Source organism: Homo sapiens, chromosome 1 (genome assembly GCF_000001405.40).
Source record: "Homo sapiens chromosome 1, GRCh38.p14 Primary Assembly".
NCBI lineage: Eukaryota > Metazoa > Chordata > Mammalia > Primates > Hominidae > Homo > Homo sapiens.
The window spans coordinates 174,592,217-174,615,176 of NC_000001.11; the positions used below are offsets into that span (position 1 = coordinate 174,592,217).

Sequence of the window (22,960 nt, forward strand, 5' to 3'; positions counted from 1 at the left end):
TGCTGAAGTTGCTTATCAGCTTAAGGAGATTTTGGGCTGAGATGATGGGGTTTTCTAGATAAACAATCATGTCGTCTGCAAACAGGGACAATTTGACTTCCTCTTTTCCTAATTGAATACCCTTTATTTCCTTCTCCTGCCTGATTGCCCTGGCCAGAACTTCCAACACTATGTTGAATAGGAGCGGTGAGAGAGGGCATCCCTGTCTTGTGCCAGTTTTCAAAGGGAATGCTTCCAGTTTTTGCCCATTCAGTATGATATTGGCTGTGGGTTTGTCATAGATAGCTCTTATTATTTTGAAATACGTCCCATCAATACCTAATTTATTGAGAGTTTTTAGCATGAAGGGTTGTTGAATTTTGTCAAAGGCTTTTTCTGCATCTATTGAGATAATCATGTGGTTTTTGTCTTTGGCTCTGTTTATATGCTGGATTACATTTATTGATTTGCGTATATTGAACCAGCCTTGCATCCCAGGGATGAAGCCCACTTGATCATGGTGGATAAGCTTTTTGATGTGCTGCTGGATTCGGTTTGCCAGTATTTTATTGAGGATTTTTGCATCAATGTTCATCAAGGATATTGGTCTAAAATTCTCTTTTTGGGTTGTGTCTCTGCCCGGCTTTGGTATCAGAATGATGCTGGCCTCATAAAATGAGTTAGGGAGGATTCCCTCTTTTTCTATTGATTGGAATAGTTTCAGAATGAATGGTACCAGTTCCTCCTTGTACCTCTGGTAGAATTCGGCTGTGAATCCATCTGGTCCTGGACTCTTTTTGGTTGGTAAACTATTGATTATTGCCACAATTTCAGAGCCTGTTATTGGTCTATTCAGAGATTCAACTTCTTCCTGGTTTAGTCTTGGGAGAGTGTATGTGTCGAGGAATGTATCCATTTCTTCTAGATTTTCTAGTTTATTTGCGTAGAGGTGTTTGTAGTATTCTCTGATGGTAGTTTGTATTTCTGTGGGATCTGTGGTGATATCCCCTTTATCATTTTTTATTGTGTCTATTTGATTCTTCTCTCTTTTTTTCTTTATTAGTCTTGCTAGCGGTCTATCAATTTTGTTGATCCTTTCAAAAAACCAGCTCCTGGATTCATTGATTTTTTGAAGGGTTTTTTGTGTCTCTATTTCCTTCAGTTCTGCTCTGATTTTAGTTATTTCTTGCCTTCTGCTAGCTTTTGAATGTGTTTGCTCTTGCTTTTCTAGTTCTTTTAATTGTGATGTTAGGGTGTCAATTTTGGATCTTTCCTGCTTTCTCTTGTAGGCATTTAGTGCTATAAATTTCCCTCTACACACTGCTTTGAATGCGTCCCAGAGATTCTGGTATGTGGTGTCTTTGTTCTCGTTGGTTTCAAAGAACATCTTTATTTCTGCCTTCATTTCGTTATGTACCCAGTAGTCATTCAGGAGCAGGTTGTTCAGTTTCCATGTAGTTGAGCGGCTTTGAGTGAGATTCTTAATCCTGAGTTCTAGTTTGATTGCACTGTGGTCTGAGAGATAGTTTGTTATAATTTCTGTTCTTTTACATTTGCTGAGGAGAGCTTTACTTCCAACTATGTGGTCAATTTTGGAATAGGTGTGATGTGGTGCTGAAAAAAATGTATATTCTGTTGATTTGGGGTGGAGAGTTCTGTAGATGTCTATTAGGTCCGCTTGGTGCAGAGCTGAGTTCAATTCCTGGGTATCCTTGTTGACTTTCTGTCTCGTTGATCTGTCTAATGTTGACAGTGGGGTGTTAAAGTCTCCCATTATTAATGTGTGGGAGTCTAAGTCTCTTTGTAGGTCACTCAGGACTTGCTTTATGAATCTGGGTGCTCCTGTATTGGGTGCATAAATATTTAGGATAGTTAGCTCCTCTTGTTGAATTGATCCCTTTACCATTATGTAATGGCCTTCTTTGTCTCTTTTGATCTTTGTTGGTTTAAAGTCTGTTTTATCAGAGACTAGGATTGCAACCCCTGTCTTTTTTTGTTTTCCATTTGCTTGGTAGATCTTCCTCCATCCTTTTATTTTGAGCCTATGTGTGTCTCTGCACGTGAGATGGGTTTCCTGAATACAGCACACTGATGGGTCTTGACTCTTTATCCAACTTGCCAGTCTGTGTCTTTTAATTGCAGAATTTAGTCCATTTATATTTAAAGTTAATATTGTTATGTGTGAATTTGATCCTGTCATTATGATGTTAGCTGGTGATTTTGCTCATTAGTTGATGCAGTTTCTTCCTAGTCTCGATGGTCTTTACATTTTGGCATGATTTTGCAGCGGCTGGTACCGGTTGTTCCTTTCCATGTTTAGCGCTTCCTTCAGGAGCTCTTTTAGGGCAGGCCTGGTGGTGACAAAATCTCTCAGCATTTGCTTGTCTATAAAGTATTTTATTTCTCCTTCACTTATGAAGCTTAGTTTGGCTGGATATGAAATTCTGGGTTGAAAATTCTTTTCTTTAAGAATGTTGAATATTGGCCCCCACTCTCTTCTGGCTTGTAGGGTTTCTGCCGAGAGATCCGCTGTTAGTCTGATGGGCTTTCCTTTGAGGGTAACCCGACCTTTCTCTCTGGCTGCCCTTAACATTTTTTCCTTCATTTCAACTTTGGTGAATCTGACAATTATGTGTCTTGGAGTTGCTCTTCTCGAGGAGTATCTTTGTGGCGTTCTCTGTATTTCCTGAATCTGAACGTTGGCCTGCCTTGCTAGATTGGGGAAGTTCTCCTGGATAATATCCTGCAGAGTGTTTTCCAACTTGGTTCCATTCTCCACATCACTTTGAGGTACACCAATCAGACGTAGATTTGGTCTTTTCACATAGTCCCATATTTCTTGGAGGCTTTGCTCATTTCTTTTTATTCTTTTTTCTCTAAACTTCCCTTCTCGCTTCATTTCATTCATTTCATCTTCCATTGCTGATACCCTTTCTTCCAGTTGATCGCATCGGCTCCTGAGGCTTCTGCATTCTTCACGTAGTTCTCGAGCCTTGGTTTTCAGCTCCATCAGCTCCTTTAAGCACTTCTCTGTATTGGTTATTCTAGTTATACATTCTTCTAAATTTTTTTCAAAGTTTTCAACTTCTTTGCCTTTGGTTTGAATGTCCTCCCGTAGCTCAGAGTAATTTGATCGTCTGAAGCCTTCTTCTCTCAGCTCGTCAAAATCATTCTCCATCCAGCTTTGTTCTGTTGCTGGTGAGGAACTGCGTTCCTTTGGAGGAGGAGAGGCGCTCTGCGTTTTAGAGTTTCCAGTTTTTCTGTTCTGTTTTTTCCCCATCTTTGTGGTTTTATCTACTTTTGGTCTTTGATGATGGTGATGTACAGATGGGTTTTCGGTGTAGATGTCCTTTCTGGTTGTTAGTTTTCCTTCTAACAGACAGGACCCTCAGCTGCAGGTCTGTTGGAATACCCTGCGATGTGAGGTGTCAGTGTGCCCCTGCTGGGGGCTGCCTCCCAGTTAGGCTGCTCGGGGGTCAGGGGTCAGGGACCCACTTGAGGAGGCAGTCTGCCCGTTCTCAGATCTCCAGCTGCGTGCTGGGAGAACCACTGCTCTCTTCAAAGCTGTCAGACAGGGACACTTAAGTCTGCAGAGGTTACTGCTGTCTTTTTGTTTGTCTGTGCCCTGCCCCCAGAGGTGGAGCCTACAGAGGCAGGCAGGCCTCCTTGAGCTGTGGTGGGCTCCACCCAGTTCGAGCTTCCCTGCTGCTTTGTTTACCTAAGCAAGCCTTGGCAATGGCGGGCGCCCCTCCCCCAGCCTCGTTGCCGCCTTGCAGTTTGATCTCAGACTGCTGTGCTAGCAATCAGCGAGATTCCGTGGGCGTAGGACCCTCTGAGCCAGGTGTGGGATATAGTCTCGTGGTGCGCCGTTTCTTAAGCCGGTCTGAAAAGCGCAATATTCGGGTGGGAGTGACCCGATTTTCCAGGTGCGTCCGTCACCCCTTTCTTTGACTCGGAAAGGGAACTCCCTGACCCCTTGCGCTTCCCAGGTGAGGCAATGCCTCGCCCTGCTTCGGCTCGCGCACGGTGCACACACACTGGCCTGCGCCCACTGTCTGGCACTCCCTAGTGAGATGAACCCGGTACCTCAGATGGAAATGCAGAAATCACCCGTCTTCTGCGTGGCTCACGCTGGGAGCTGTAGACCGGAGCTGTTCCTATTCGGCCATCTTGGTTCCTCCCTCCTCTTCAGTTTCTTTCATCAGTGTTTTGTAGTTCTTATTGTACAGATCTTTCACTTCTTTGGTTAAGTTATTCCTAGATAATTTATTTGTAGCTGTTGCAAATTGGATTCTTAAATTTTAAATTTCTTTTTCAGATTGTTCATTGTTGGCATATTTAAATGCTATTGATTTTCATATATTGATTTTATATCCTGTAATTTTATGTAATTTACTTCTCAGTTCTAATAATTTCTTGATTAAGTCTTTAGGTTTTTCTAAATATAAGATTATATCATCTGCAAAGAAGGATAATTTGACTTCTTCCATTTCAGTTTGGATGACCTTTATTTCTTTATCTTATCTGATTCCTTTAGCTAGGATTTCCAGGACTATGTTGAATAACGGTGGTGAAAGTGGGCATCTTTGTCTTGTTCCAGATCTTGGAGGAAAGATTTTCAGGTTTTACGCATATGTAGATGTGGTTCTTTTCTATATGGCTTTTATTGTGTGTTGAAGTATGTTTCTTCTCTATCCAGTTTTTTTAGGTTTTTTTAAATTTAATCATGAAGAGATGGTGAATTTTATTGAATGGTTTTTTTGTATCAATTGAAATGATCATATGGTCTACGTCCTTCATTCTTTTTATATGATGTTTATATTGATTGATTTGCATATGTTGAACCATCCTTACATCCTGGGGATAAATCTCAGTTGATCATGATGAATGATGTTTTTAATGTGTTGTTGAATTTGGTTTGCTAGTATTTTGTTGAGGATTTTTTGTATCAATGTTCGTCAGAAATGTTGGCCTGGAATTTTCTTTTTTTGATGTGTCTTTGTCTGGTTTTGTTATCAGGGTAATACTGCCCTCATAGAATGAGTTTGGAAGTATTCACTCCTCCATTATTTTTTGGAATAGTTTGAATAGGATTGATATTAGTTCTTCAAATGTTTTGTAAAATTCTGCAGTGAAGCCATCATTTTCTGGGACTTTTCTTGATAGGAGACTTTTTATTACATCTCAGTCTCATTACTTGTTAAGGGTCTATTCGAGTTTTTAATTTTTTCCTGGTTCAATCTTGGTAGGTTATATGTGTCTAGGAATTTGTCCATTTCTTCTAGGTTTTCTGATTTATTGGCATATGGTTGTTGATAGTAGCTTCTAATGATCTTTGAATTTCTGTGGAATCAGTTGTAATTTTTTTTTAATCTCTGATTTTATTTATTTGTCTTCTCTCTTTTTTTCTTAATCTTCCTACAGGTTTGTTGATTTTGTTTTCAAAAAACTTTTCGAACTTTTCGAAAAATTTTTCAAAAAACTAACCTTTTGTTAATCTTGTGTATTGTTCTTTTTCTCTTTCCAATTTCATTTATTTCTGCTTTCATCTTAGTTATTTCTTTGTTCTACATTTTAATGTAGGCACTTACTGGTATAAACTTTGCTCTCAGTATTGCTTTCACTGTATTCCAGAGATATTGGTGTGTTGGGTTTCCATTTTAATTTGTTTTAAGGAATTTTTGAATTTCCTTCTTAATTTCTTCATTGACTCACTGGTCATTCAGCAGCATAGTGTTTAATTTCTATGTGTTTGTATAGTTTCCAACATTCCTCTTGTTGTTGATTTCTAGTTTTATTCCATTGTGGTCTGAGAAGATAATTGATATGATTTCAGGTTTTAAAAACATTTTAGGCCAGGTGTGGTGGCTCACGGCTGTAATCCCAGAACTTTGAGAGGCCGATGGGGGCAGATCACGAGGTCAGGAGATCAAGGCTATCCTGGCCAACATGGGAAAACCCCATCTCTACTAAAATACAAAAATTAGCTGGGCATGTTGGTGCATGCCTGTAGTCCCAGCTACTTGGGAGGCTGAGGCAGGGGAATCCCTTGAACCCGGGAGGCGGAGGTTGCAGTGAGCCGAGATCGCATCACTGCACTCCAGCCTGGCAGCAGAGTGAGACTCTGTCTCAAAAAAAAAAAAAAAAAAAAATGGTCTGTCTTTGAGATCTATGCACTGAGGAGAAGCATATGTATTCTGCAGCTGCTGGATGAAATATCTATTAGGTCCATTTGGTTTATAGTGCTAAGTCCAATTTTTTTGTTGATTTTTCAGTCTGGATGATCTGTCCAGTGCTGAAAGTGGTATGTTGAAGTCTCCAACTATTACTGTATTGGGGTCTATCTCTTTCTTAGCTATAATAATATTTGCTTTATATATCTGGGTGCTTCAGTGTTGATGCATATAAATTTATAACTATTTATCCTTTTGTCGAATTGACCCCTTTATCATTATATAATGACCTTTTGGTCTCTTTTCATAGTTTTTAATATTGAATTCTATTTTATCTGATATAAGTGTAGCTACTCCTTTTTTTGGTTTTCATTTGCATGGAATATCTTTTCCCATTCCTTTATTTTTAGTCTATGTGTGTCTTTATTGATGAAATATTTCTTGTAGCCAAAAGATCATTGGGTCTTTTTTTTATTTTTTTAATCCATTCAGCCACTCCATTTCTTTTGATTGGAGACTTTAGTTCACTTACATTCAATATTGTTATTGATAAACTAAGGACCTACTCCTGCTATTTTGCTGTTTGTTTTCTGGTTGCCTTATGATCTTTCTCCCTCCCTCCCTCCCTTTCTCTCTCCTTCCCTTCCTTCCTTTTCCCGTTCTGTTGTTTTTGTGAAGGTTCTCCTCTCTGATGGTGTTTTAATTTCTTGCCATTTTTGTGTGTTTGTATCTGTTGTAGGTATTTCAGGGTTACCACAAGGCTTGCAAATAACATTTTGTAACCAATCATTTAAAACTAATGACAACTTAACACTGCTTGTAAAACCAAACGAAAAAGCAGAAGGAAAACTAATAAAAATTCACACTTTTATTCATCTCTCCCACTTTTTAACTTCTTGTTGTTTCTATTTAAATCTTATTACACTATCTCTTAAAACACTGTTGTAGTTATTTTTGATAGTTTTATCTTTTGATCTTTATATGGAAGATATAAGTAGTTTACAGACCACTGTTACAGTGTTATCATATTCTGTATTTGTCTATGTACTTCCTATTAGCAGTGAGTTTTGGACCTCCAGATGATTTCTTTTTGCCCATTAACATCATTCCCTTTCTGATTGAAGTACATCATTTAGCTTTTCTTGTAGGATAGGTCAGCAATTAATGAAATCCCTCAGTTTTTGTTTGTCTGGGAAAGTCTTTATTTCTTCTGCATATTTGAAGTATATTTTCACTGGATAAAAGTTTTTTTTTCCTTCAGCACTTAAAATATGTCATGCCACTCTCCTGTTTTGTAGGGTTTCCACTGAGAAGTCTGCAGCCAAACTTAGTGGAGCTCCATTGTATGTTATTTGTTTCTTTTCTTTTGTTGCTTTTAGGATTGTTTCTTTATCTTTGACCTTTGGGAGTTTGATTATTGAATGCCCTGAGGTAGTCTTCTTTGGGTTAAATCTGCTTGGTGTTTTATAACCTTCTTGTACTTGAATATTGATATCTTTCTCTAGGTTTGGAATGTTTTCTGTTATTATCTCTTTGAATAATGCTGTCTACCCTGGTCTACCTCTCACTACCTCCTCTTTAAGGCCCCATGTATTAGTCTGTTTTCATGCTGCTGATAAAGACATACCCAAGACTGGGAAGAAAAAGAGGTTTAATTGGACTTACAGTTCGACATGGCTGAGGAGGCCTCAGAATCATGGTGGGAGACGAAAGGCACTTCTTATATGGCAGCAGCAAGAGAAAATGAGAAAGAAGCAAAAGCAGAAACCCCTGATAAACCCAGCAGATCTTGTGAGACTTATTCACTATACAAGAATAGCACGGGAAAGACCATCCCCCATGATTCAATCACCTCCACCTGGGTCCCTCCCACAATAACGTGGGAATTCTGGGAGATACAATTCAAGTTGAGATTTGAATGGGGAGACAGCCAAACCATATCTTTCTGCCCCTGGCCCTTCCAAATTTCATGTCCTCACATTTCAGTACCAATCATGCCTTCCCAACAGTCCCGCAAAGTCTTAACTTATTTCATCATTAACCCAAAAGTCCACAGTCCAAAGTCTCATCTGAGACAAGGCAAGTGCCTTCCACCTATGAGTCTGTAAAATCAAAAGCAAGCTAGTTACTTCCTAGATACAATGGGGTACAGGTATTAGGTAAATACATCCTTTCCAAATGGGAGAAATTGGCCAAAAAAAAGGAGTTACAGGGCCCATGCAAGTCCAAAATCCAGTGAGGCAGTCAAATTTTAAGGCTCCAAAATGATCTCCTTTGACTCCACGTCTCTTATCCAGGTCACACTGATGCAAGAGGTGGGTTCCCATCATCTTGGGTAGCTCCACCCCTGTGGCTTTGCAGAGTACAGCCTCCCTTCTGGCTGCCTTCACAGGCTGGTGTTTAGTGTCTGCAGCTTTTCCAGGCACATGGTGCAAACTGTCCGTGGATCTACCATTCTGGGGTCTGGAGTATGGTGGCCCTATTCTCACAACTCCACTAGGCAGTCCCCCTGTGGGCACTGCCTGTGTTGGGACTTTGACTCCACATTTCCCTTCCGCACTGCCCTATCAGAGGTTCCCCATGAGGGCCCCACCCTGAAGCAAACTTTTGTCTGGGCATCCAGGCATTTCCATACATCTTCTGAAATCTAGGTGGAGGTTCCCAAACCTCAATTCTTGACTTTGGTGCACCCGCAGGCTCAACACCACATGGAAGCTGCCAAGGTTTGGAGCTTCCACCCTCTGAAGCCACAGCCTGAGCTGTACATTGGCCCCTTTCAGCCAGGGCTGGAGTGGCTGGGACACAGGGAACCAAGTCCCTAGGCCGCACGCAGCACAGGTAACCCTGGGCCCAGCCCACAAAACTACTTTTTCCTCCGGGGCCTCCAGGCCTGTGATGGGAGGGGCTGCTGCGAAGGTCTCTGACATGGCCTGGAGACATTTTCCCCATGGTCTTGGGAATTAACATTAGGCTCCTTGCTACTTATGCAAATTTCTGTAGCCAGCTTGAATTTCTCCCCAGAAAAATGGGTTTTTCCAAACACTGCATGTTCTCACTCATAGGTGGGAATTGAACAATGAAAACACTTGGACATAGGGTGGGGAACATCACACCCCGGGGCCTGTCGTGGGGTTGGGGGCAGGGGGAGGGATAGCATTAGGAGAAATACCTAATGTAAATGACGAGTTAATGGGTGCAGCAAACCAACATGGCATATGTACACCTATGTAACAAACCTGCACATTGTGCGCATGTACCCTAGAACTTAAAGTATAATTTAAAAATAAAATAAATAAATAAGAAAAATGGGTTTTTCTTTTCTACTGCATTAGGCTGCAAATTTTCTGAACTTTTATGCTCTGTTTCCCTTTTAAAACAGAATGCTTTTAAAAGCACCCAAGTCACGTTTTGAATGCTTTGCTGCTTAGAAATTTCTTCTGCTAGATACCCTAAATCATCTATCTCAAGTTCAAAGTTCCACAAATCTCTAGGGCAGGGACGAAATGCCACCAGTTTTTTTGCTGAAACATAATAAGAGTCACCTTTGCCCCATTTCCCAACAAGTTCCTCATCTCTACCTGAGACCACGTAAGCCTGGACCTTATTGTCCATATCACTCTCAGGCTTTTGGTCAAAGCTATTCAACAAGTCTCTGGGAAGTTCCAAACTTTCCCACATTTTCCCATCTTCTTCTGAGCCCACCAAACTGTTCCAACCTCTACCTGTTACCCAGTTCCAAAGTCACTTCCATATTTTCGGGTATCTTTTCGTCAACGCCCCACTCTATGGGTACCAATTTACTCTATTAGTCTGTTTTTATGCTGCTAATAAAGACATACCTGAGACTTGGAAGAAAAAGAGGTTTAATTGGACTTACAGTTCCACATTGCTGAGAAGGCCTCAGAATCGCTGGGAGGCTAAAGGCACCTCTTAAGTGGCAGCAGCAAGAGAAAATGAGAATGAAGCAAAAGCGGAAACCCCTGATAAACCCGTTAGATCTCGTGAGACTTATTCACTACACCAGAATAGCAGGGGAAACTCGTGAGACTTATTCACTCTGCAAGAATAGCAGAGGAAAGACCACACCCCCATGATTCAATTACCTCCACCTGGGTTCCTCCCACAACACGTGGAAATTCTGGGAGATGCAATTCAAGTTGAGATTTGAATGGGGACACAGTCAGACTATATCAGGCCAGTAACTCATAGATTTGCCTTTTTGAGCCTATTATTTAGATCTTGTAGGCATGCTCCATTGTTTTTTATTATTATTTTTTGCCTTTTCTGACTATTTATTTTCAGATACATGTCTTCAAGCTCTCTAATTCTTTCTTCTTCTTGATCAGTTCGACTATTGAGAGACTGATACATTCTTCAGTGTGTCCATTGAATTTTTCAGCTCCAGAATTTCTGCTTGATATTTAAAACTTATTGTAATCTCTTTGTTAAATTTCTCTGATAGGATTCTGAATTCTTTTTCTGTGTTGTCTTGAAGTTTGTTGTGCTTCTTCAAAATAGGTATTTTGAATTCTCTTGTCTGAAAAGCCACTATCTCTGTTTCTCCAGGATTGGTCCTTGGTGCCTTACTTAGTTCATTTTTGAGGTCATGTTTTCCTGGATGGTGTTGATGCTTATAGATGTTTGTTAGAGTCTGGACATTGAAGAGTTAGGTATTTGTTTTATTGTTTGCAGCCTGGGCTTGTTTGTTCCTGTCTTTTTGGAGAAGATTTTCCAAGCATTCTGAAGGAATTGAGTATTGTGGCCTAAGTCTTTGATCACTACAGCTATATCTGCATTAGGGGGCATCTCAAACCAGTAACACTATGACTCTTGCAGACTTGTCAAGATCACCTTGATGTTCTTTGATAAGATCCAAGATAATTTTCTGGAACAAGAGGCAAAGACTCTTGTTCTCTTTCTTTACTTTCTCCAAAGCAGACAGAGTCTCCGTCTCCATCCTGAGCTGCCTGGTATTGGCAAAGGGGTGACACAAGCACCTGGTGGCTACCATCACTTGGACTGTGGTGAGTCAGACCCGAATCCAGCACAGTACTGGGTCTTGTCCAAATCCGGAGGCGACCACTGCCTGGTAATTGCCAATCTTCATTCAAGGCCAGAACTGCCATTCGGGAACCAGGGCCAGGAATCAGGAACCTTAGGATTCTACCTCCTGCTCTATTCTACTCCACCTAAGCTGGCACCCCCACCACAAGACAAAGTCTTTCCCACTCTTTTCTCTTCTTTCCTCAAGTATAAAGAGCCTGTTGTAATGGCCACCACAGCTGGTATTGTGCTGGGTCACATCTGAAGCCAGCACAGCACTAGTTCTCACCCAAAGCCCACAGCAACTACCGCCTGGTTACAACTGATGTTTATTCAAGGCCCATGCAGATGATGAATGCCGCCAGAACTGGGTTCTCCCCTACAAGGCAGCAGGTTCCCTTCTGGCCCAGGATGTGTCTAGAAATGTCATCCCGAGCTAGATCCTGGGATGTGGGCCTCAGGACACTGCTTGGTGCCCTATTCTACTGTGGCTAAGCTGGTGTGCTAATTGCAAGACAAAGTCCTTTTTACTCTCCCCTCTCCTCTCCTCAAGCAGAAGGAAGGAGTTTCTTCTGGAGCTGTGAGCTGTGCTGCCTTGTGTTGGCGAAGAGCTGACACAAGTACTCCTGGGCTGGCCTAGCTGGTGTCTTATAGCTTGTGTGTACCCCATGTCCTCTGGCTCAGGGTCCAGCACAGCACCAAGACTTGACCAGGAATTGCAGTCCTTGTGGCCTAGACTGCCTTTCATGTTTATTTAGGACCCCAAAGCACTTTAGTTCACAGTCGGCCTAGCTGGAACTCAGATACCAACCACTGGGAAGGATGATTCCCCTCTGGCTGTGACTGGTCTAAATGCTCCCTCCATTGGCACTGGCTGAATTCTGCCATGTGTTTCTTTTGCTGTGACAGATAGCACTGAGTTCCAAAGCAAAGTCCCACAATCACTGTCCTCTCCCTCTGCCTATCACACATACTGTCTCTCTGTGCCATGCAGCTAATGCTAGGGGATAGAGGTGATGTTGTTGGCAATTCAAGACTGTCTTTTCTACCCTCTTCAGTGCCTTTTTCCTTGATATGATGTTAAAACCAGGCACTGTGATTGTGTACCTGATTTTTGATTCTCATGAAGGTGCTTCATTATGTGGATAGTTGTTCGATTTGGTATTCCTGTGGAGGGGATAATCATTAGAGGATTCTATTCAGCCATCTTGCTCCACCACCTTCTCTCCAGACACTTTTGTAAGTGATGATACCAGTCATTTAGTCCATCCCTAAAAAACTGAGGATTCTGGGAATTTACCATGTCAATGCCATCTTTGTAAGATTATTACCTAAGAAAAATGGGTGCTCTTTACTTTAAGAGTAGAAAACAAAAAGAAGTCAGAAGTAGCCACATCAGGACTGTAAGGTGGATGCTTAATAATGTTTCATCAAAACTCTTGTAAAATTAGGCTGGGTACAGTGGCTCACAACTGTAATCCTAACACTTCGGGAGGCTGAGGCAGGCATATCACTTGAGGTCAGGATTTCACCAGCCTGGCCAACATTGTGAAACCCACTCTCTACCAAAAATACAAAAATTTGCTGGGCGTGGTGGCACATACCTGTAATCCTAGCTTCTCAGGTTGCTGAGGCAGGAGAATTGTTTGAGCCTGGGAGGCAGAGGTTGCAGTGAGCTGAGATCACACCATTGCACTCCAGCATGGGCAACAGAGTGAGACCCTGTCTCAAAACCAAACCAAAACAAACAAACAAACAAACAAACAAACGAAACTCCTCCTGTAAAACTGACCTTGTTTGATGGGAGGAATGAGCAGGAACACTTGTCATGGTGAGGAGGGACCCTCTGATGAAGCTTTCCTAGGCATTTTTCTGCTAAATCTTTGACTAAGTGTCTCAAAATGCTATCATAAGCAGATGTTATTCTTTATCTCTCCCAGAAAGTCAACAAGCAAAATGGCTTGAGCATCTCAAACACCTGTTGCCATGATCTTTGCTCTTGACTGGTTTACTTTTGCTTTTACTGGACCACTTCCTCCTCCTGGTAGCTATTGCTTTGATTATGCTTTGTCTTCAGGATTATACTTGTAAAGCCTTTTTTTTTTAATCTCCTATTACAATTCTTCGAAGAAATGCTTCAGATTTTGATTCCACTTGTTCAAAATTTAATTGAAATCTCTGTTGTTGTCTGAAGCGGATCTGGTCACAAAAGTTTTGGCACCCATCACATGGAATATTTACTCAACTTTAATTTTTAGTCAGATCTATATAAGCTGAACCAATTGAGATGTCTGTGGTGTTGGCTTTTGTTTCTGCAATTAATTGTTGGGCCCTTTCAATTAGAGCACAAACAAGATAATTTTGTTCTTGCAAATTGATATGGATGGACTGCCACTGCAGGCTTCATCTTTAACATCATCTCATTCCTTCTTAAAGCGAATTTTCTATTTGTAAATTGATGATTTATTTGGGGGCATTGTCCTCATAAACTTTTCATAAAGCATGATTGATTTCACCATTCTTACACTCAGTCTTCACCCTGAATTTGATGTTTGTTCTTGCTTCAATTTTGGTGGAATTAATGTTGCACTGAAAGGGGCTCTTTTCAAATTTATGTTTTATTCTTCTTAGTGCCTCAGACTAGATCCTATTTAGACATGTTATAACAAGTTAGGGAGAATTTATTTTGGTGCAAATTTTTTTGACATTCATGCATAGCTTTTAATAATGTACACTATCCATCAACATTTTGAAGACTCCTCATATAGTATCTACTAGTTTATGAAATTTCAATAAAAATTTAAAACCTTCAGAAAAATAATTACAAATGGCTAAGTGTAGATGTTAATTGTTTAAAATATGCAACTCATAAATTTTGATTTTTCCTGAATTCATAGCTGTATATAAAGGTGCTTGTCCCTAGCCTGCCACACCCACTGTCTTTCAGATTGTGCCCTGATACTCCTTCACATCATTATTTGCAATGACAATACTAGAGAAATAAATTGTCCATTGATAAGGCATACCACGGGTTTATTTCATTATGCCAATTTTAAAGCTACTTTCTTCTGTGACCAGAACATTTTTTAAGACGTTAATTGGTTGGTCTTTATTTGGCATTTGATCAGAGGAGAGACAGTGTTGACAAAGCAGACATTTTCAGTATCTTTGTCATTTATTCACTAGCGGGAATCTTTATCTGTTCTCTGCCTTCATGTCTTTGGTAACCTCAGACCAGTCTGGTATATCTTAATTTGATCTTGTTTTCCAAGCCAAAATTCAGTTTTTCTGTGCCTCACAGGCTTAGTATTCTCACTAATGATGATGTCTATCCATTGTTATCTCAAAGTCCTCATTTTCCTCTGTCTTACAGCTGAGATCAGATTTTTCTGATTCTATTCATAGCAGTATCTGTAGCTTTTAACTAGTATTTTTGCCTCTTAATTAAATAAATGTAACACAGCTAGCGTCTGAAGTAAAATGTGACTAGTTTATATTAAATATGGTAACTTTCATAAATAAATATTAAAACCTGTTTAATCAAGAATAAAACCCAAGTATTTATGAAGATACTTGGGAATTGCTTTTCCCAACACTATGATATTAGTAATCTGGGTAGGACTGCCAGATGTAGCAAATAAAAATACAAGACACCCACTTACATTTTTGTTTCATATAATTAAGGACTAATTTTTAATATCAGTATGTTCAATGCAGTATTAAATTCCATGTGGTTTCACTGGGCATTTTATATTTTAACTGTCACCCCTAAATTTTCTTCATAGGGGCATTGATTCTTGTAGTAGTTGCCCTACTGAAATCCTTCAGTAAAATAGAAACAAAGAGCTAACAAGTTATGAATTCTTTTCATGAAATATTATCATGCCCTCCACTTATGTAATCTTTTTCCCCCATCACTTTGCCAAAGTTGCCTTCAGTCTCTACGGGCAGTGGTCCTGTGGTGTTGCAATACCTGCTCTCAGAGGGTAGGGCCAGACCACTCTTTTGCCCCACTTAGCCCAGTCTCATCTCCATCTCTCCCTAACTGTTGGGTTACAGACATTCCTCTGGTGGCAAAAGCAGAGGTGTCCTCTGGGCTGATACCCAGGATCACAATGCTGCATCTTTGTTGTTTAAAGACTCAAAATCAGCCACCACTCCTTTGTGCTCTCTGTGGCTCTCAAATTTGCTGCATTTGTGAAAAATTATCTGGTTTACACTATTCCAGTTTTATTTCAGGGCTGTATCACTTACATTAGGAGATTGAATACAATATCACAGCCATGATTTTCAGGAAATACTAACTTGGAAGAGTGTTATTTCCAGTGGCTATTTGGATAATTGGAGCATAACATCCTCTTCATAAAGCATTTTAGCCTAGGCTGAGTTGAATAAAGATTTAAGCAAAATGTGTGTTTTAGAAACCTGTGTAAAAGCTTCTTTGGTTATTCTTTCCTATACATCAGGAAGATAGTATTGAGAACTACAGTGTGATGACTTGCTCTAGGGTTACCTCCAAGCAACCCTTACGAAAGTGTGATTTTGAACAATGAGATAATTTGTTTCATGTGGGTACAAATGTCGTGAATCATGGCATTGATTATGGGAGTAGTTCCATTGGATAACATTCTGCCTTACAATGGATTTTATAAACTCTCTTCCTAGGGAGACAGCTCAAAGCATTTCGCAGGGCAGATGTGAGTGCCCAACAAAGAAAAATTTGCCCCATCCTAGCTTTCATATGTGCCTAAGTGTGAGGCATGACTCACCTTCCACTTAAGCAGCAATATAACCTTTTTCTTCATACTCTGCCTTTCTGCCTTGGTTCACCATTTTCTTCTTTCTATCATATGGATCGTTTATAATAATAATTATTCAACAAATATTTGTTCAGCCCCTACTACATTTAGGGTACTAGATGTGTTACTATAAGGTGCTGCCTGTAGTGGCCAGGAGCTTATCTTTCAGTTAGTGGAAGTAAGATATGTCTTAGCCCAAGGCAATATGTAAAAAAGTATTATATAAGTATATACAACTTGGTATTACAGTAAGTAACATAAGGGAAAAAGGTGTTTTTACCTGGGTGTTTTACATTATGAAAGCACTATGGAAGGAATCTGATGATCTGTATAGATGAGCAAGATTTCAGTAGGGGAAAATGTGGGATGGAGGATCATTCAGACAGAGGAAATTACACAAAAGCCTTGAAGCTTAAAGAAAAGCACAACTTTGCAGAATGGAATGTGATTCAGATGGAATGGAATAAGTCCTTTTTTTCTATTTGAGGGTAACGGGACAATATTACAGATGGATTTGAATGGTATATGGGAACAAAATAGTGCTTCAGGTAGATTAACCTAAAAGTACTGTACAGACTGATTGAAGGGCAGAAAGTTTAGGAAATTGATTATTTGAAATAGTTTAGGCATAAAGTGATAATATCCTGACCTATTAAAAGATGGTAGTGCCAAAAAAGAACACATGGTTTAGCTGGCCCAAACAATGGTTAGTTTGTCTACTTAGACAATATATTGAATAATATTCTCTATTTTTCATAATATTTTCATATTGTGAACTACTTAACACTTATACCGAATTACCTCAACACTAATAATATTTTCATATTGTGAACTACTTAACACTTATGCCTAATTACCTTAACACTTATAACTAATCACTATGCAAAGTAAGAACAGTCTTGTATATGTAATTTGTTATCAACCACTTAAAACTTTGGAAAAATGAAAGAGTTTTTATTTGTAGAACTGGTTCTAAATAAAAAGGCAAGGCCAGACAAATACCTGGAAAGAAACCTTCTCTTAGCCCTAGAGCCACTGAATCAAGTCAAAATACCTTCCACAAATGGCAACTTAATACTTAAGGAATAAGTGAAGTTACTTTTACAGTTTCTTAACAGCAGTTGCATTTTCTTTCTTTTTATTACAAATTCAGACTTTAAAATTGTTCTCTTAGCTGCATGAGAGTCAATTAGGAAAAAGTTACATAAAAATCATTGTTCCTCATGACATACATATCAAAAGCAAAAATGTATATTGATTAAAGGGGTAGAAGGGAATTTCAAACGAGAGGAGGACTGTAACCATAAACTGTTTCTGTCTCATATGGTATTAAGAACAGCAAAGAACCTGAGCCTGTTAAGCACTATAATCCAGAGGTACACTGAATGGGAATTTTCTGATCCTTACCTAACCTTCATGTCAATCTACTACTTCAAGCTATTTTTCTGTGAAAAAGTTAACATGTAAACTAAGACAGATACCTGAGATTTAAAAACAAAATCTATTGTAATTTGCTTCTAACAGTGTTTTATACACCTTAATTATGTAATTCATCTGTCACTTTAATAAGAGTGATTTTAAAATAATGCAGGGATTGAATGTATCTTTATCTTTTGTACTTCTTTTCATATAAAATGAAGTAAAGCTCAATGAGCAAACCCCAAACAGTTTTTTAAATTATTTTGGATGAATCAAATAATAGTAGGATTTTCCATTTCTGTTTTAAGATAGAGATCCATTTTGTTTTGTTCATAGTTTATATAATATGTAAAATTATTTTTATATATCATCTTTGATATTAGAAAAGACATTTTGGTATGCGTTTTTTTTTTCTTTTTTTAAATTTATTTTATTATTATTATATTTTAAGTTTTAGGGTACATGTGGACAATGTGCAGGTTAGTTACATATGTATACATGTGCCATGCTGGTGTGCTGCACCCATTAACTCGTCATTTAGCATTAGGTATATCTCCTAATGCTATCCCTTCCCCCTCCCCCCACCCCACAACAGTCCCCAGAGTGTGATGTTCCCCTTCCTGTGTCCATGTGTTCTCATAGTTCAATTCCCACCTATGAGTGAGAACATGCAGTGTTTGGTTTTTTGTCCTTGTGATAGTTTACTGAGAATGATGATTTCCAATTTCATCCATGTCCCTACAAAGGACATGAACTCATCATTTTTTATGGCTGCATAGTATTCCATGGTGTATATGTGCCACATTTTCTTAATCCAGTCTATCATTGTTGGACATTTGGGTTGGTTCCAAGTCTTTGCTATTGTGAATAGTGGACAATAAACATACGTGTGCACGTGTCTTTATAGCAGCATGATTTATAGTCCTTTGGGTATATACCCAGTAATGGGATGGCTGGGTCAAATGGTATTTCTAGTTCTAGATCCCTGAGGAATCGCCACACTGACTTCCACAATGGTTGAACTAGATTACAGTCCCACCAACAGTGTAAAAGTATTCCTATTTCTCCACATCCTCTCCAGCACCTGTTCTTTCCTGACTTTTTAATGATCACCATTCTAACTGGTGTGAGATAGTATCTCATTGTGGTTTTGATTTGCATTTCTCTGATGGCCAGTGATGATGAGCATTTTTTCATGTGTTTTTTGGCTGCATAAATGTCTTCTTTTGAGAAGTGTCTGTTCATGTCCTTTGCCTATTTTTTGATGGGGTTGTTTGTTTTTTTCTTGTAAATTTGTTTGAGTTCATTGTAGATTCTGGATATTAGCCCTTTGTCAGATGAGTAGGTTGCGAAAATTTTCTCCCATTCTGTAGGTTGCCTGTTCACTCTGATGGTAGTTTCTTTTGCTGTGCAGAAGCTCTTTAGTTTAATTAGATCCCATTTGTCAATTTTGGCTTTTGTTGCCATTACTTTTTGTGTTTTAGACATGAAGTCCTTGCCCATGCCTATGTCCTGAATGGTATTGCCTAGGTTTTCTTCTAGGGTTTTTATGGTTTTAGGTCTAACATTTAAGTCTTTTATCCATCTTGAATTAATTTTTGTATAAGGTGTAAGGAAGGGATCCAGTTTCAGCTTTCTACACATGGCTAGCCAGTTTTCCCAGCACCATTTATTAAATAGGGAATCCTTTCCCCATTGCTTGTTTTTCTCAGGTTTGTCAAAAATCAGATAGTTGTAGATATGTGGTGTTACTTCTGAGGGCTCTGTTCTGTTCCATTGGTCTATATCTCTCTTTTGGTACCACTACCATGCTGTTTTGGTTACTGTAGCCTTGTAGTATAGTTTGAAGTCAGGTAGCATGATGCCTCCAGCTTTGTTCTTTTGGCTTAGGATTGACTTGGCGATGCGGGCTCTTTTTTGGTTCCATATGAACTTTAAAGTAGTTTTTTCCAATTCTGTGAAGAAAGTCATTGGTAGCTTGATGGGGATGGCATTGAATCTATAAATTACCTTGGGCAGTATGGCCATTTTCACGATATTGATTCTTCCTACCCATGAGCATGGAATGTTCTTCCATTTGTTTGTATCCTCTTTTATTTCCTTGAGCAGTGGTTTGTAGTTCTCCTTGAAGAGGTCCTTCACGTCCCTTTTAAGTTGGATTCCCAGGTATTTTATTCTCCTTGAAGCAATTGTGAATGGGAGTTCACTCATGATTTGGCTCTCTGTTTGTCTGTTATTGGTGTTTAAGAATGCTTGTGATTTTTGCACATTGATTTTGTTTCCTGAGACTTTGCTGAAGTTGCTTATCAGCTTAAGGAGATTTTGGGCTGAGACATTGGGGTTTCTAGATATACAATCATGTCATCTGCAAACAGGGACAATTTGATTTCCTCTTTTCCTAATTGAATACCCTTTATTTCCTTCTCCTGCCTAATTGCCCTGGCCAGAACTTCTAACACTATGTTGAATAGGAGTGGTGAGAGAGGGCATCCCTGTCTTGCACCTGTTTTCAAAGGGAATGCTTCCAGTTTTTGCCCATTCAGTATGATATTGGCTGTGGGTCTGTCATAGATAGCTCTTATTATTTTGAGATATGTCCCATCAATACCTAATTTATTGAGAGTTTTTAGCATGAAGCATTGTTGAATTTTGTCAAAGGCCTTTTCTGCATCTAATGAGATAATCATGTGATTTTTATCTTTGGTTCTGTTTATATGCTGGATTACATTTATTGATTTGTGTATATTGAACCAGCCTTGCATCCCAGGGATGAAGCCCACTTGATCATGGTGGATAAGCTTTTTGATGTGCTGCTGGATTCGGTTTGCCAGTATTTTATTCAGGATTTTTGCATCAATGTTCACCAAGGATATTGGTCTAAAATTCTCTTTTTTGGTTGTGTCTCTGCCCGGCTTTGGTATCAGGATGATGCTGGCCTCATAAAATGAGTTAGGGAGGATTCCCTCTTTTTCTATTGATTGGAATAGTTTCAGAAGGAATGGTACCAGTTACTCCTTGTACCTCTGGTAGAATTCGGCTGTGAATCCATCTGGTCCTGGACTCTTTTTGATTGGTAAGCTATTGATTATTGCCACAATTTCAGAGCCTGTTATTGGTCTATTCAGAGATTCAACTTCTTCCTGGTTTAGTCTTGGGAGAGTGTACGTGTCAAGGAATGTATCCATTTCTTCTAGATTTTCTAGTTTATTTGCGTAGAGGTATTTGTAGTATTCTCTGATGGTAGTTTGTATTTCTGTGGGATCGGTGGTGATATCCCCTTTATCATTTTTTATTGCGTCTATTTGATTCTTCTCTCTTTTCTTCTTTATTAGTCTTGCTAGTGGTCTATCAATTTTGTTGATCCTTTCAAAAAACCAGGTCCTAGATTCATTAATTTTTTGAAGGGTTTTTTGTGTCTCTATTTCCTTCAGTTCTGCTCTGATTTTAGTTATTTCTTGCCTTCTGCTAGCTTTTGAATGTGTTTGCTCTTGCTTTTCTAGTTCTTTTAATTGTGATGTTAGGGTGTCAATTTTGGATCTTTCCTGCTTTCTCTTGTGGGCATTTAGTGCTATAAATTTCCCTCTACACAGTGCTTTGAATGTGTCCCAGAGATTCTGGTATGTTGTGTCTTTGTTCTCGTTGGTTTCAAAGTACATCTTTATTTCTGCCTTCATTTTGTTATGTACCCAGTAGTCATTCAGGAGCAGGTTGTTCAGTTTCCATGTAGTTGAGTGATTTTGAGTGAGTTTCTTAATCCTGAGTTCTAGTTTGATTGCACTGTGGTCTGAGAGACAGTTTGTTTTAATTTCTGTTCTTTTACATTTGCTGAGGAGAGCTTTACTTCCAACTATGTGGTCAATTTTGGAATAGGTGTGGTTTGGTGCTGAAAAGAATGTATATTCTGTTGATTTGGGGTGGAGAGTTCTGCAGATGGCTGTTAGGTCTGCTTGGTGCAGAGCTGAGTTCAATTCCTGGATATCCTTGTTAACTTTCTGTCTCATTGATCTGTCTAATGTTGACAGTGGGGTGTTAAAGTCTCCCATTATTATTGTGTGGGAGTCTAAGTCTCTTTGTAGGTTACTCAGGACTTGCATTATGAATCTGGGTGCTCCTGTATTGGGTGCATATATATTTAGGATAGTTAGCTCTTCCTGTTGAATTGATCCCTTTACCATTATGTAATGGCCTTCTTTGTCTCTTTTGATCTTTGTTGGTGTAAAGTCTGTTTTATCAGAGACTAGGATTGCAACCCCTGCCTTTTTTTGTTTTCCATTTGCTTGGTAGATCTTCCTCCATCCCTTTATTTTGAGCCTATGTGTGTCTCTGCACATGAGATGGGTTTCCTGAATACAGCACACTGATGGGTCTTGACTCTTTATCCAATTTGCCAGTCTGTGTCTTTTAATTGGAGCATTTATTCCATTTACATGTAAAGTTAATATTGTTATGTGTGAATTTGATCCTGTCATTATGATGTTAGCTGGTGATTTTGCTTGTTAGTTGATGCAGTTTCTTCCTAGCCTCGATGGTCTTTACAATTTGGCATGATTTTGCAGTGGCTGGTACCGGTTGTTCCTTTCCATGTTTAGCGCTTCCTTCAGGAGCTCTTTTAGGGCAGGCCTGGTGGTGACAAAATCTCTCAGCATTTGCTTGTCTGTAAAGGAGTTTATTTCTCCTTCACTTATGAAACTTAGTTTGGCTGGATATGAAATTCTGGGTTGAAAATTCTTTTCTTTAAGAATGTTGAATATTGGCCCCCACTCTCTTCTGGCTTCCCCCACTCTCTTCTGGCTTGTAGACTTTCTGCCGAGAGATCTGCTGTTAGACTGATGGGCTTCCCTTTGTGGGTAACCCAACCTTCCTCTCTGGCTGCCCTTAACATTTTTTCCTTCATTTCAGCTTTGGTGAATCTGACATTTATGTGGCTTGGAGTTGCTCTTCTTGAGGAGTATCTTTGTGGCATTCTCTGTATTTCCTGAATCTGAATGTTGGCCTGCCTTGCTAGATTGGGGAAGTTCTCCTGAATAACATCCTGCAGAGTGTTTTCCAACTTGGTTCCATTCTCCCCGTCACTTTCAGGTACACCAATCAGACGTAGATTTGGTCTTTTCACATAGTCCCATATTTCTTGGAGGCTTTGCTCATTTCTTTTTATTCTTTTTTCTCTAAACTTCCCTTCTTGCTTCATTTCATTCATTTGATCTTCCATCACTGATACCCTTTCTTCCAGTTGATCGTATCGGCTCCTGAGGCTTCTGCATTCTTCACGTAGTTCTCGAGCCTTGGCTTTCAGCTCCATCAGCTCCTTTAAGCACTTCTCTATATTGGTTATTCTAGTTATACATTTGTCTAAATTTTTTTCAAAGTTATTAACTTCTTTGCCTTTGGTTTGAATTTCATCCTGTAGCTCGGAGTAGTTTGATCGTCTGAAGCCTTCTTCTCTCAACTCGTCAAAGTCATTCTCCATCCTGCTTTGTTTCGTTGCTGGTGAGGAACTGCGTTCCTTTGGAGGAGAAGAGGTGCTCTGCTTTTTACAGTTTCCAGTTT

At 39.4% G+C, this 22,960-nt stretch overlaps 1 protein-coding gene across 10 annotated transcripts in view, besides 1 other annotated feature; it reads left to right on the plus strand.

Moving 5' to 3' along the window:
• RABGAP1L (RAB GTPase activating protein 1 like) overlaps nt 1-22,960 on the plus strand; it is an 835,789-nt gene that overhangs the window by 432,697 nt on the left and 380,132 nt on the right. The gene's annotated exons all lie outside the window — the stretch shown is intronic.
• Nucleotides 3,267-3,868: an enhancer, noted in NCBI's record as "NANOG-H3K27ac-H3K4me1 hESC enhancer chr1:174564621-174565222 (GRCh37/hg19 assembly coordinates)". NCBI's record gives its function as "activates a minimal SCP1, AML or CMV promoter by ChIP-STARR-seq in primed H9 embryonic stem cells {active_cell/tissue: H9 hESC(primed)}" and the evidence as "EXISTENCE:reporter gene assay evidence [ECO:0000049][PMID:30033119]".